General features: G+C 43.3%; 1 pseudogene across 1 annotated transcript in view; it reads right to left on the bottom strand.

The window, feature by feature from the left end:
• Positions 1-1,935: 1,935 nt before the first annotated feature.
• LOC102724904 (methylenetetrahydrofolate dehydrogenase (NADP+ dependent) 1 like pseudogene) overlaps positions 1,936-13,623 on the bottom strand; it is a 13,715-nt pseudogene continuing 2,027 nt past the window's right edge. The window contains exons 2-4 of the transcript NR_160669.1: positions 12,741-12,848; positions 10,247-10,399; positions 1,936-2,648 (exon numbers count right to left, since the gene is read on the bottom strand). The product of NR_160669.1 is annotated as a methylenetetrahydrofolate dehydrogenase (NADP+ dependent) 1 like pseudogene (transcript). The remainder of the gene's footprint in view (positions 2,649-10,246; positions 10,400-12,740; positions 12,849-13,623) is intronic.

Below are 13,623 nucleotides of genomic sequence, written 5' to 3'. Positions count from 1 at the left end.
TCCAACATAAATTATTTCCCTACACCTACTTTATACTTGCTCCCTGATTTCATACCAGTGAGTATAGCCTGATGTAACTAAACATTCTGAATTTTCAGTGATACCCAGAGAAGAGTGTGATAACCAATTCTCTCAAAAGCGATTTACTGCAAATATTTTCATTTACAGTAAGTCCTTACTTAACATTGTGGATATGTTCTTGGAAACAGTGACTTTAAGCCAAACGAGGTACTGTGTGGCTTCATAACTCAACTCTTTTTCCTATCAATTAGACTCTGGGAAAATTGGTTTTGTATGCATTATGTCCTTTTGCTTAAAGTGGTAGTTTCCAAGAACCTATCAATGACATTAAGTGAGGACTTCTTGTAATCTGATATCTGCGGGTGGATAATTTAAGGAACACATACATAGTTAAGCCTGTAAACTGCTGTAAGTTCCAGATATTATCAGTTCTATTTCTCCACAATTACAATTCCAGTTTTGGGATTTCTTTTTGCTCATTAAATTTGAAAAGCCAATTCCAGTTTTAAAGCTTGACCCTTTTCTTATAACTTTTTTTATAACTGATAATATATCAGTTATATCAGTTATATTTCTTAGGCTTCCCACGAAACCCTCAAACTGACACTGAGGGTGGCCTTGCTATCTAATTTACAAAACCGGTTATCTTGGTTTGCGTTCATTTTATTTCCCTTGCATACATTGCTTAGCTGCTTCTGATTATATGCCTCTTAGCCACGGCTGGATAGAAAAGTGTAATAAGAGAAAAGTGTAACTAAGAGACACAGAAGAAAGAGAAGTTCCATGAGCACCAGATACTTTTATGGGTGCCTTTTGGAAGCTCTAAATTGAGATGTATCTTTGTTGTCAATTTTTGCTATGAATCCAAATGAAAAATGGCGGGAAAAAAACAAGTAGGCTGTAGATGAAAGTGGAAGAAAAATGAGTCTATATATATATATATATATATATATATATATTACCAGTTGTATGAAAGTATATGAGTCAATATTCCATCAATACCTAGAAAAATAGTAGATCAATATGCTGATTTTAGGGGTGGACACAAAAGTGTTATAAGCGTCTTTTATCTTTTCTTTTTTCCCTCCTTGACTCTGAAGAGAAACACCATTTTTCTATGTATGCAAAGAGTAAAAATTCAGAACTACCACGCAGGGATTAATAGCAGTGAACTGCAAACTCAACTCAGTGGTATAGTACCTGGCAACATTATTACTCAGCATATTTCCCTGGCTGAGGCTGATTTCATTTAAAGTAGTTTTATACTTGTGCTAAAAATAAGTGTACATCCCATTAAGGGAGAAAAGATCCTCTACACAATGGATTGGACCTACATAACCTTATGTACCAGAGAGGAAAACATCATTCTCATGAGTCACAAAGCTTTCTTCTTCTTGTCAGTATGATAAACAGTTTCCGGAAATTGAGAACGACGCTGGTTACTTTCCTTCCTCCTGAACATGCCACACTGAAGAGACAGGGATGACTCCTTCCCTATGGGACAGACACACATGTAGCTTTCCCTGGGTTGTGGAGGAAGGCATGGCCACAACACCATCGGCAGCCTGCTGCAGGGACCTCACGATGAGAGGAAGCAATGGATGCCTGGGCCAGGGAAATGCATATTTGGGAGAAAGCAGGAAATTCTGATGTAGAGATAGGGAAGAACCCTGGGGAAAAGGATCCAAGCTGGGCGGGGAGGAGGAAACCACCAGGATCCCAGGATCAGAGACAAAGGACACAGGGACACAAACAAAGTGAGGCCAGATGGAGAGGGCAGGCTCACGGGGAGAGCAAGCTCACAGGGAGAGCATGAGCCAAACCTGGCTTATTTCACACTCATCAGAGAAACTGCACAGATGGGGCCAAACCAGGGCCCAGGAGCATCGGAGAGAGGAGGGCCATTTCAAAGACTTTTGTAAAATAAGCTCAAAGTTTCTTTGTTTATTTGTGGGTGTGGGAGTGGAAACGTAGGGTAAGTGAAGAGAGTGGGGAAAAAGGGATGGGTGATTTTGTAGGCAAGATGCTCCCTGAGGAGGTCCTGGTGGACCTGCTGTGGGGAGTGGCATTCTGCACACTCTCATATCATGGGGAGCGCATGACTACATTACTGCTTACACATCTCCAAGTGCAGCTTGGGGGGTGAATGTTTAATTGTCTCACTGTAACTGTCTAAATCTCTGGAAAATGTGAAGGGTCATGCATTTGATTTAAACCTATGAGGTCTGAAGGAATTCTCCTCCATGCCTAACTGAGTGAAGCAAGTATATAACCAACCATGCATCCCTAAGCAGGGCCGGTATGAAAGGGAGGAAACGCCTCCCCACTGAGCTCGCAAAGAACTTCATCACTGACCTGAATCAGATCCAGCAGGAAATGAAACACTGAGTACATACTTTTACAGTAGAGGGAGGGGGACGGAAAACAAAGTGAGCTGAACTGAAACGTGAGAAAGAACAGAATGGCAGTGAGTCCACGGGGCAGGGCCGCAGCTTTCTTTTTTCATGGCCCTCAGTCCAGTAACCCCACCCGGCATTCGTAGCGGGTGACATCACTGATGCCCCAAACATGCTCCAGCAATTTCCTGCTTTCCAGAGTCCAGCCGAGCAATGATGTCAGTGGTGCACCTGGGTAAAGATATGGCAGGGCTGGGTCACAGGGAGTGGGGACAAAAGCCAACCCAGTTAAATAAACTGCTGGTCTTCTAGGGCCTGGTCCCTAGGCAGGCTTCCACCATGAGATAGGTATAGCCCAGGCCAATCCCAACAAGAGGAAAAAAAGCATGTACTTGGCCGGGGGCGGTGGCTCACACCTATAATCCCAGCACGTTGGGAGGTTGAGGCGGGTGAATCACGAGGTCAGGAGTTTGAGACCAGCCTGAACAATGTGGTGAAACCCCGTCTCTACTAAAATTGGAAAAAATTAGCTGGGCGTAGTGGTGGCTGCCTGTAATCCCAGCTACTCGGGAAGCTGAGGCAGGAGAATCGCTTGAACCCGGGAGATGGAGGTTGCAGTGAGCCGAGATCACACCACTGCACTCCAGCCCAGGCAACAGAGTAAGACTCTGTCTCAAAAAATAAAAAAAAAAAGAATGCACCCATGCAGTGCCTCCTGTCACCCTCTGCCCAGAAAGGGCACAGGGGCCAGGGTGAAAGAGTTACAGGAAGACAGAGGGAAGGAAACCATGCAGACATAACCACATGGGGGCAGGCCCTAAGCTGCTGGGACCTCCACAGTGTATCCCTTTCCTCCAACTGGGAGACGGAAGCACCGATGGTCTTTCTCTACAGTGCCAGGAGCCACCCTGCCCCCAGAGATGCCCTACAATCAATGACTACCATCTAAATGCTTCTGAATAGTTTCATTCCTTGTAGATGATATTCCAAATACTATAATTTGTACTTCTCCACAATTACAATTCCAGTTTTGGGGTTTCTTTTTACTCATTAAATTTGAAAAGCCAATTCCAGTTTTAAAGCTTGACCCTTTTCTTAAAAGTTTAACTTCTCTTTTTATTCAGGCTTCCCACTAAACCCTCAAACTGACTCTGAGGGTGGCCTGGCTAATTTACAAAACCGGCCAGGCTGCCTAACCCCTAGATTCCAGCCCAGAGTGTTGCCATAAATTGCTGTCAAGACATGCCTCTATGTCCCATGTTTGCCAGTGAGAAAAGGGTTCATATTCTAAGTTCTTCAAGTCTCTCTCACTGCCTCAATGTGAAGTCAATGGAAAACAGTCAAATACACCAAAAATTAACTTCAAATGGATATCTGCTATGAATTCCAACTTGGTTGGACACTTCTCCAGGCCAACTGTTGTGAAAATGCATTGTTGTTTTAAAAAACACTGTGAGAGATGGCTGGGCACGGTGGCTTACTTGAAGTCAGGAGTTTGAGAACAGCCCAGCCAATATGGTGAGACCCCAGTCTCTATGAAAAATATAAAAATTGAGCCAGATATGGTGGCTTGCACTTGTAGTCCACGCTACTTGGGAGGCTGAGGCAGGAGTATCACTTGAACCTGGAAGGCGGAGGTTGCAGTGAGCCGAGATCATGCTACTGCACTCCAGCCTGGGTGACAGAGCAATACTCTGTCTCAAAAAAAAAAAAAAAAAAAAAGAGCGAGAGAAAACACTGTGAGAAGAACGAAGTCAATCACCCCCTCTCCAATGCCCAACACAGTAAGCAAGAAGGGCCCAGGAACAAATTAACAGGGAAAAACAATCTTGCATTTGCTTAGTGGAATCTGGGGTTTGCACACATTAGTCAGAGCTAGACAAATCATACTGAATACACTTCTTATAGAAACATTCTAGCTCTTATGGCCTTTCCTTGCTGTCCCAACTTTTGAGGTGCGAAAACACAGCAACACAGCCAGGACCGGCCAGGTGACGGCACGGAGCCCGCTCCCACAGGCTGCGTGTGTGTTCTCACTCTCTTGCAAGTGGCCTGAGTTAAGCCTTCTCCCCAAGCACTTGCAGTTTATCATCGCCCTATTTACTGTATTTTCATGTTATAAAAGTGATATACACCCAACGTAGTAATTTGATCTATACAAAAAAGAGAAGAAAAAAAGCTACTTATAATATCACTGTCTAATTTAAGGTTTTGGTGTAGTCTTTCTAGTCTTTTTCTATATGGAATGTAATTTACTTCTCAAAAATATCATTTCATATACTTTGCTTACATATTAGCATTTTTGTCATGAAATTTATGCCAACTGATTAAACGGCCCTTGTAAATTACAGAAACTTAAAGACAATATCAAAACAATGTGACCACAAGACAAAGACCACCTACTACTAAATTATTTTTGGCATGAGATTACTTTTTGAGAAGTTTTATAAACTATTAGGTTTATTGAACACTATAAACTGTAATCCTTGAAAGAATTTTGGAAGCATACTATAACAGGGTAATTTGTAGTAGAATATAGGGTTGGAAAACCTTAAAAAACAACTTGCTCATTTCTTCCTATATCAAAGATTTGTATTAGAAAATCTATTTCTTACAAAAAGATGTACTAAGTGGTATTATGTCAGTCAAGCATCTTGTATTATTTTCTAGCTTTCAATAATATGTATAATGTCATAAAAAAGAGGGAAGAATACACAAAATACATATGAAGCTTACTAGGAATGAAGAAAGTTATTTTAGGAAGGAAAAATTGGTTACCATCAAGGAATATGGAAAACACTAGCAATGCATGTAAGAATGACCTCAAAGGTCTTAGACGTCCACGAGCTGGGAATGCTTGTGCTGGGTGCTTCAGTTACAACAGCATGGGGAAGTTAAATAGACTAGTGAAGCTGTTACACCAGTTAATAGTATTTATTATTATTTGTGGTCACCAATGCCAATTAAAACAATAATTAAATAGAACATGATGAAATAATTCAATGGTAGGAAAAAAAATCTGGCCTACAAGTGAACATGGAAAGTAAAAGTAAATATTTAGAAAGTGAAATCAGGAGTGGAAAAAAGCTCCAGCATCTCACCATGGGGTCTTCCAAAGCCAGCAATACTGGAGATGTTTATTGTTCAAAGATGGACTTGCTTGGGTTGGGATTCTCCAACTAGAGCCAGAGAGGAGATTCTCTGCTTCCCTTGAGGACACAACAAGAGAGGCTTTCTTATAAAGCCTGCCACATTCTGTGCCTGTATTGTTTTATTTACTGGAGTCTATCATAAGGCCTGTGAGGAAAGGACTGAATCTCTTTCTCATAGCCGTTGGGCTGATGGCCCTGCGTGCTGTAGGCATTTAATAATTCACTGAGTAAATGAATGAACCCTGCAGGAGATTGGGAGCCTTTCTGATCTTGAGGTCTCAGTTTGGACTATCTTTCTGGAGTGGATAGACGAATATGTTTTTCAGCAGCACTCTAATAAGCGCACATTGGGTGACTAAGCAGAAGAGTGATTCGTTTTGCTAGAATTTTCCCACCTGCAGGAGCCAGTCCCCCTGGTGTCCCCATTCCCTGTCCCCTCAGTCATCTCAGCAGGAAATTACTATCCTGTCTCCCACATGGGTGATGAATGTTCAAGGCATTTCAGCAGACTGTGGTAAGGCCCAGAATGGGTTCAAGTAAAAGTAAATACCAGTCCTTATTAGGAGATCCTGGCCCCTCTGATGCATGTGTCCCACTACACATGCAGCTTCCTGCTCTGTCATAGAAAGCAGCCCTCTAGGGCCACCGCCTCCAGTGAGAGTTTCCTGACCTCCAGGAACTTCTGTAGTCAGGCACCACTCCCTTCCCTCACACCCCACACCCGATTGTTCCAGATTTCATCACTGTGCACTGATGCTCACTGCGACCCCACATGTGGCCACAGGAGGAACTCGGCTGAGGGCTGAGAAGACCAGATAATGACACAGAGGGCTCACTTCAGGAAACCCAGAGAGCTGCAGCGGCTCCTCCAGGGCCATTCCACGCATTCATTTTCTAACAAGTCATAAGTCAAAGAGTGACATCAGGAGCGGACAGCCTGGTGTCCAGGCATGAGCCATGGCAACAGATTCTGATTTCCCAGAACGGCTTTGGTCTTTACCTGATGTTGGATATGGTAGTGTTAGCTGGAGTGGGAGGAGATTCACATTGTATATTTGTTTAGTGACTCCAAAGATTTTAAATTATATTGTGTTTTTTATTATTTTATTCCATTTTTTTAGAGACAGAGGTCTCACTCTATCTCCCAGGCTGGAGTGCAATGATATGATCATAGGTCAGTGTAGCCTCAAACTCCTGGGCTCAAGTAATCCTCCCATTTCAGCCTCCTGAGTAGCTGGGACTCCAGGTGTGTGCCATGACTCCTGGCTAATTTTGGTTTAAGTAGAGACACAGTCTGGCTATGTTGCCCAGGCTGGTCTTGAACTCCTGGCCTGAAGCAATCCTTCTACCTTGGCTTCCAAAAGTGCTTGGATTGTAAGTGTGAACCACTGTGTGGGCCCTGGTTTTTGTTTAATGGCTATTAAATGCTCAGAAGTGAATTAAGGTTGCAGTTAAATGCACAATTTTTATATCAAACTATTTTCTTTGCTAATTCACTTCTATCTGCGTCTACCAGCTGTAAACTACCTGAAGCAGAGAAAGCTTCTTTAGGTTGGGGCTTCCTGTAGCCCCGAGCTGAGTGCCTTATGCAGCATTGGCCGAGTGAATGAATTTGTTGGGTGAACTGCTGCGGGGTTTAGAGTCCGCAGAGGGTAGGACAGAACAGATCGTGATCGAGGCTAACCTTCTCATCTACTCTACCATTTCATGCTCTGTTTGGGCACCTCCGTCACCCCTCACTTCCCCTGATGGTCCAGTCTCTCTGGGCCTGCACTGTCCAGCCACCCTCTTATCCCTAAGCCAAGGCCTTTGCCAACTAAAGCTCAGGAGTAAAGTGGCCATCACTGAGGCCATTCTATGTATGTATGTATGTATGTATGTATTTAGAGATGGAGTCTTGCTCTGTCACCCGGGCTGAAGCACAATGGCGCAGTCTTGGCTTACTGCAACCTCTGCCTCCCAGGTTCAAGCAATTCTCCTGCCTCAGCCTCCCGAGTAGCTGGAATTACAGGTGCCCGCCACCATGCCCAGCAAATTTTTGTATTTTTAGTAGAGATGGGGTTTCACCCTTTTGGCCAGGCAGGTCTCCAACTCCTGACCTTGTGATCCGCCCAACTTGGCCTCCCAAAGTGCTGGGATTACAGGCGTGAGCCACTGCACCCGGCTGACTGAGGCCATTCTAAGGAATATACAGCAAGCTCTTCAGTACCCATTTTTAACTGAGGTATAACTAAATGATACACAGGCCCAGCACAGTGGCACGAACCTATAGTCACAGCAACTTGGGAAGCTGAGGTGGGAGGATTGCTTGAGATCAGGAGTTTGAGTCCAGCCTGGGCAACACACGTGTATAGGTCTATGAGTCTGGAAGAATGTATATAGCCATGGAATCACTACCATGTCAAAACATAGGATATTTCCATTATCCCAAAAAGTTCCCTCCTGCCCCTCTGCAGTCAAACACTTCCCTCCCCCAACTCCTGGCAACTGCTGATCTGAACTGTAGACCTGAAAATGTCATTCAGAACCCATTTCATCTGGACCCTTCTCTCTGTGTCAACATTGCTGTGAGCGGTGTCTGTGGGATTTTTCTGGACGTTCTCTGCCATGCCCCTGCTCCTTCCTTCCTGCCTTCTGGAAGGCACCCCTGCCAGGAGTCGGCTGCATTAAAGTGGGTGTTTCAGGGGTGTCTTCCTTTACTCTCTTCTCACTGATTTCCAGCTATCCCTGTGTCTCTTGTTTAATGAGTGCCTTCACCCATATCCTTAAACCCACCAGGGCGACCTTCCTTCCCCTTTCTTTGGAGAGCTGTATCTGTATTTCCAGTGGAGACACAGACTGTTCCTTAGATCCTATTAACCCTCTGAGCTCTCTCTCTTCAAGCCAGGCTCATTTCTGGCTTGGCCAATCTGCCTCCTCCCGTGTCCTTTCCATGACACGGTGATGGCATCACCAGCCAGTCACCAAGCTAGAACAGTCCCTTCACCCGGCCCCTACTGTAGGAGGATACTTTTAGAGTATGTCTGCAATTCACCCCCACTCTCCGTATCTACTTCTGTGGCCAAAGTGCAGACCTTGATTTCCTCTGGCCCCAGCTGAATTAACCCACCTATCTGGGCCTGGTTCTCTTTTCACTAAACATTCTCCACATTGCTGCCAGAGCTATTTTTCTAAAATACACATCAGACCACATTCTTCTCCTCCTTATTTAAAAACAAAAAATCAAAAAAATAAAAAACCAAGAAACAAACAAAAAACCCACCCTACCGTGGCTCCTCAGTGTGTAGAGATCAGACTCAAGTTCCGTGAGATGGTCTTCAAGATCCTTGGCCATGTGACCCCGTCCTGCTATCCCAATCCCATTCCCATTCCCATCCCCAGCCTCCCCACCTCATCCAACTCCAGCCACATTGGATCACCCCAGGAGAGGATGTCATGTATTAGTACTCTGGTGCCTTTGAGTCAAAACTCACTGTTTTGCCAGTTCAGAGGTTGAGCCCTTTTTGAAGAATCCCCTCTTCTTCCACAGCCCAGGTAAGTTCTACCCCAGGCATAATGAGCTGTTATCCCCCTGGGATCTGAGGGCATTCAGAATACCAACACAATGCTCTCCAGATACCTCTATGCTATTCAAATCCATGCATCTCACACCTGCTCATCTTAAAATCTCTGTGCCTCACATGCAGGAAGAATTCAAATGATGCTGATTGAAAAAACATTGTGTCCAATATTAGATGAAGTATGTAAATATCAAGGCAAGAATCTGCACTTTTTGTCTGTCTATTGCTTGTTTGCACAATAGAGCCACATGGTTTATTATAAAAAATTATTATAATGTATGCTGTTTAAGCTCAGATCACTTTGCACTAATGATGATGATAATGATGGGTTAGAATTTTTTTTCTTTTCTTGCCATGGGATCTGCCAGGTTTTAAGAATTCTTTTTTATTCTAAACCAAATTCAGGAGCACTCCCAAAGACAAGAAATCAAATTTAGGCCACTGATGGTACCAATGGAAGGCTATCACTGTGTAGCTATACCAAATGAAGCCAATCTTCATGGATTTTAAGCACTTTGATAAGCTTTTATATCTCTGCTCATCTCCTTTACCTCCATAGATAACACAAAATAACAGAATAATCAACCAATAGCAACATAATCCCATCACAACAACATCAAAAATGAGAATTCATATGATTCAGTAATTTCCTAAGCCAGAACTTCCCACCTGATGTGCTGGGGAAGTGAGAGGGTGAGGACTGCTTTCCCCAGCCCTTGTGGTGACTGGGCAGATCCTGTCTGGTGTGAGCATTCAACCCTACTGATTACATCATTTTGGGTGCTATGTGTGATAAAGGTTGACAACCACTGTCCTAAGCCATTCTACCATTTAAATAGACTGAATTCTCCCAAGTTATGTTCTTACTTGCCTTAGGAAGGAAATTAGTATTATGACTCTAAGGATCCTGAACACATGATCTAAAAAAAGAAAAACCCAAACCACAATGGCAAAGGTAGGTGAGACAGAGTGTTTAGAAAAATAGCGAATACTGTACTATTAATTACTCCCAATTCTCCCTAATCCATGATTTTTAAAGAGCGGGTGGAGCATAACGATTTGAGGCACTGCGACAATGCAGAATGGGGAGGGATTTTGGAAAATGTGACTCACTCACCGTTCCGACCAAAGGGTAAATGAACCCAGCACCTATGCTGGCCCGGACATCACTGATAGGTAAGATGAAGTCCCTTGGCACACCTTTTTTGTCAGGTTGGTGAGACAGAGAAAGATCGGTCTTTGCCATGCAGATGGGCAAATTTCCAAAACCCTGTAAGAAAGGAAAGAAAATGTGTTCACTGATATAGATGTGAGTCTCCTGTGTTCTTCAATTTGCACTTTATACAGTCTCGGCAGCAATGGTATGCCAGCTCAGATCGAGGCACACGCAGGAGCTGCTTGTTACTACTTGTTCACTGAAGAAGCAAGAAGGTGAGGATAAAAACTCATCTCCATGTGATGACTGTTTAGTAGGTCAAGGGTGACTATTGTTTATTTTGGAGGTCTCGTTAAGAGAAGGCAGTGTTATGTGCATGTTTGGGAAAAGCATTGCTATTTTCAGGCAAAGCAGCAGCTGTAGAAACCGCTTTCCAAGACTATTAATATCTGGGACCCAGCAAGGTAATCTGGAGAAAGGCTCTGCGACTAGGCTCTTAGTTATGTTGTTCACTCATTCTGGAGTCAGTCAAGAAGCAAAGGGTTCCTTTGTGTTGGTTTATGAATCATGGTTATTTGATCTGCAACTACATTACAAGAACTAAGATGAGGTCACTATTTAAGCTTCTTGTTTTTAAGGACCAAAGTCTATGTCTGACCCAGAGTTCCAAAGGTGAAAGATCAGGAAGTCACATGTGGTGTCTCACAAAAAGCACAGTGTCCTCTAAGCCTGTTTCTGATTAAATGGCACACAGTGTTCCTTTAGAGGCTTTGCTAATTCATTGCAACCACATACTTGGCACTAACTTTTAAAAAAATAAAAATAGAGATGGAGGTTTTGCTATGTTGCTCAGAGTGGTCTCAACTCCTGGCTTCAACTGATCCTCTGCCTTGCCCCAACAAAGTGCTGGGATTACAGGTGTGAGCACCATGCCTGGTTGACACGAGTTTTAAGGAGTATTTCCTTGATAGAGATAAAGGGAATGAAATCTTTAGTCAAATTTTCATAAGACTTAGCCTAAAACTATTTGGAAGATCTTAGAGTCTTATCAACTTAGGGAGGACTTGGGCTTGGGGCCATTTTCTTTTTGAAATCTCCACTCTTCTATACTGATAAGAATTTTGCTGAGTGAGAATCACAACTGCCTTTCAGAATGGTGCCAGAATTTTGAATTTCAGACATGGTTAAATATTAAAGTAATTTCTATAGGTTTGCTAATGTAAAAATTTTGTCAGTAGGCATATTAAAAAGAAACAGAAACCAACCAGTATGCTATATACTGTCACCACATTACTTCATAAAAGAAATAACATTTTAACACTGAAAGGAGAAAAGACTTAATATTACAATAAATGATAGTCTTAAATATCATTATTAAAAACTCAGGGGAAAAAAAAACAAAGCAACCTCATGAGAATGACCTTATTTTACTTGGTTCATTGCACATGAATGAAAACTTCACCACAATGCCTAGGCACAGAGCAGTGCTTGGGAATCCTTTTTGTAAAGGGTAAGCCAAGAACATCAGGGAAAATTTTAAGAATTTAGAACTTTCTGAGTTCCTATTTTACCAAACCTAGGAGAACAAATACCCTGGCTGGCAATGGTAGCATTTAACAAAATTTCAAATGGGTTTACAAAAAAGAATAAGGAGTTGGAGATTGTTTTTAAAGATAAGGTCAACACTACCAATCATGAAGCTCTTTAGCCAGCAGGCTCTTAAAATGTTCTGACTTCTATCTATCTGATTACACCAAAGTAGGAGGGACACTGGAGGCACATGGTCCTTTTGGTAAAAGGTGGCTGAGCCTCCTGTAATGGAGTTGATTCATCATGACTGTCACTGGACTAGGTGATGACACATGCTGTCAGATCATAGCCACCTTCCCAGCTGTTTGCCTACTTGCCTTTCTCAGTGGCTAGAGGTAGAAGATGATGGAGCCTTCAACCTCAGTGGACCAGCTCAGTAAAAAGCCAATGAACCGCTTGCATAAGAACAGCAAACGTTCCCATCTTTATAGGTTGCACTCCTATCTGCCTACCCTGGCACCTTGCTAGCATTTTTAAGGTAGTAAGAGGCCTGTAAGGAAGAGGAAGCATTGCAATTCATGTAAATCTGACTCCGCAGCTCTACTCCAAAGGATAGTTTCAACATTCTGGGCTGAGTGGGAGGGATGAAAGATCACACATCACCTACAAACAGGGATACCACCCATATCAGACACATTTATAGTCACAGAAGTAAATGGTGCATGGATCAGAGGATACATGCCTCACCATAAAGTTCTAAATATAGTGTACACTCTACCCGAGGATATTGCTTTCATCTTTGTTAATCAGAAAATAGATTAAGCAGAGGTTAGCTGGTGAGACATGTACAAATCCTCAAGTCAAGCTGAGTATTCTGAGAGCCTAAGGTGAATTTTTTCTTTTCCCCTAAAATTACAACTTTTACCTGCTGAGTGTAACGATCTATTTTGACTTGTGCCTCAGGACAGAGTTCGATATCTTTGGCTCCATAGACAGCCTGGGCAATGGTCCTTATCTTGTCCACAATTGGAAGCTGCAGAAACACAAATTATAACAAAATTGTGTAAGTTTAATCTGGTTAAAGATTTTTTAAAAAGTTTAGTGACACTTACTATAATTGCTTAAAATTCCCTTATCAGGGTCCCCCTCAGCAACTGCAGGATTCCTTGCAAACCCTCTTTTTTCCTTTTAGCACCCTAAAGCACTGAAATTTTCAGTGTCAGAATAGATCAGATGTCAACTAGCAAATAAGCCTTAGGTGTTCAGGCAATTTAGAGGCTGCTTAGAGCCCACGTAGAATCTGCAGAGGGAGGCCGGGCACAGTGGCTCACACCTATAATCCCAGTACTTTGGGAGGCCGAGGCGGGTGGATTACCTGAGGTCAGGAGTTCGAAACCAGCCTGACCAATATGGTGACACCCTGTCTTTACTAAAAATCCAAAAAAACTAGCTGGGCTTGGTGGTGCATGCCTGTAATCCCAGCTACTTGGGAGGCTGAGGCAGGAGAATCACTTGAACTGGGTGGCAGAGACTGTGGTGAGACAAGATTGTGCCACTGCACTCCAGCCTGGGTGGAGTGGGACTCCGTCTCAAAAAAAAAAAAAAAAAATCTGCAGAGGGAAGAGGGAAGTTAGTGCCTTACAGAGGGCTTCTGACTAGGAAGCCCCGGAACTGCGGCCGACCCCTTCCTCTCCCTGCCTCACCCCTGCAGAAAGATCTGCAGAAAAAGCTGGAAGGGGTGGGATGGTGTGTGTGGGGGTGGGGACTGGGGCTATGCAGTTTCCAGACCTGGTCTTTGGCACCCTCTA

Source organism: Homo sapiens, chromosome 9 (assembly GCF_000001405.40).
Source record: "Homo sapiens chromosome 9, GRCh38.p14 Primary Assembly".
Lineage (NCBI taxonomy): Eukaryota > Metazoa > Chordata > Mammalia > Primates > Hominidae > Homo > Homo sapiens.
The sequence above is the reverse complement of the archived record's forward strand: the minus strand, read 5'-3'. Positions and strand labels throughout refer to the sequence as shown.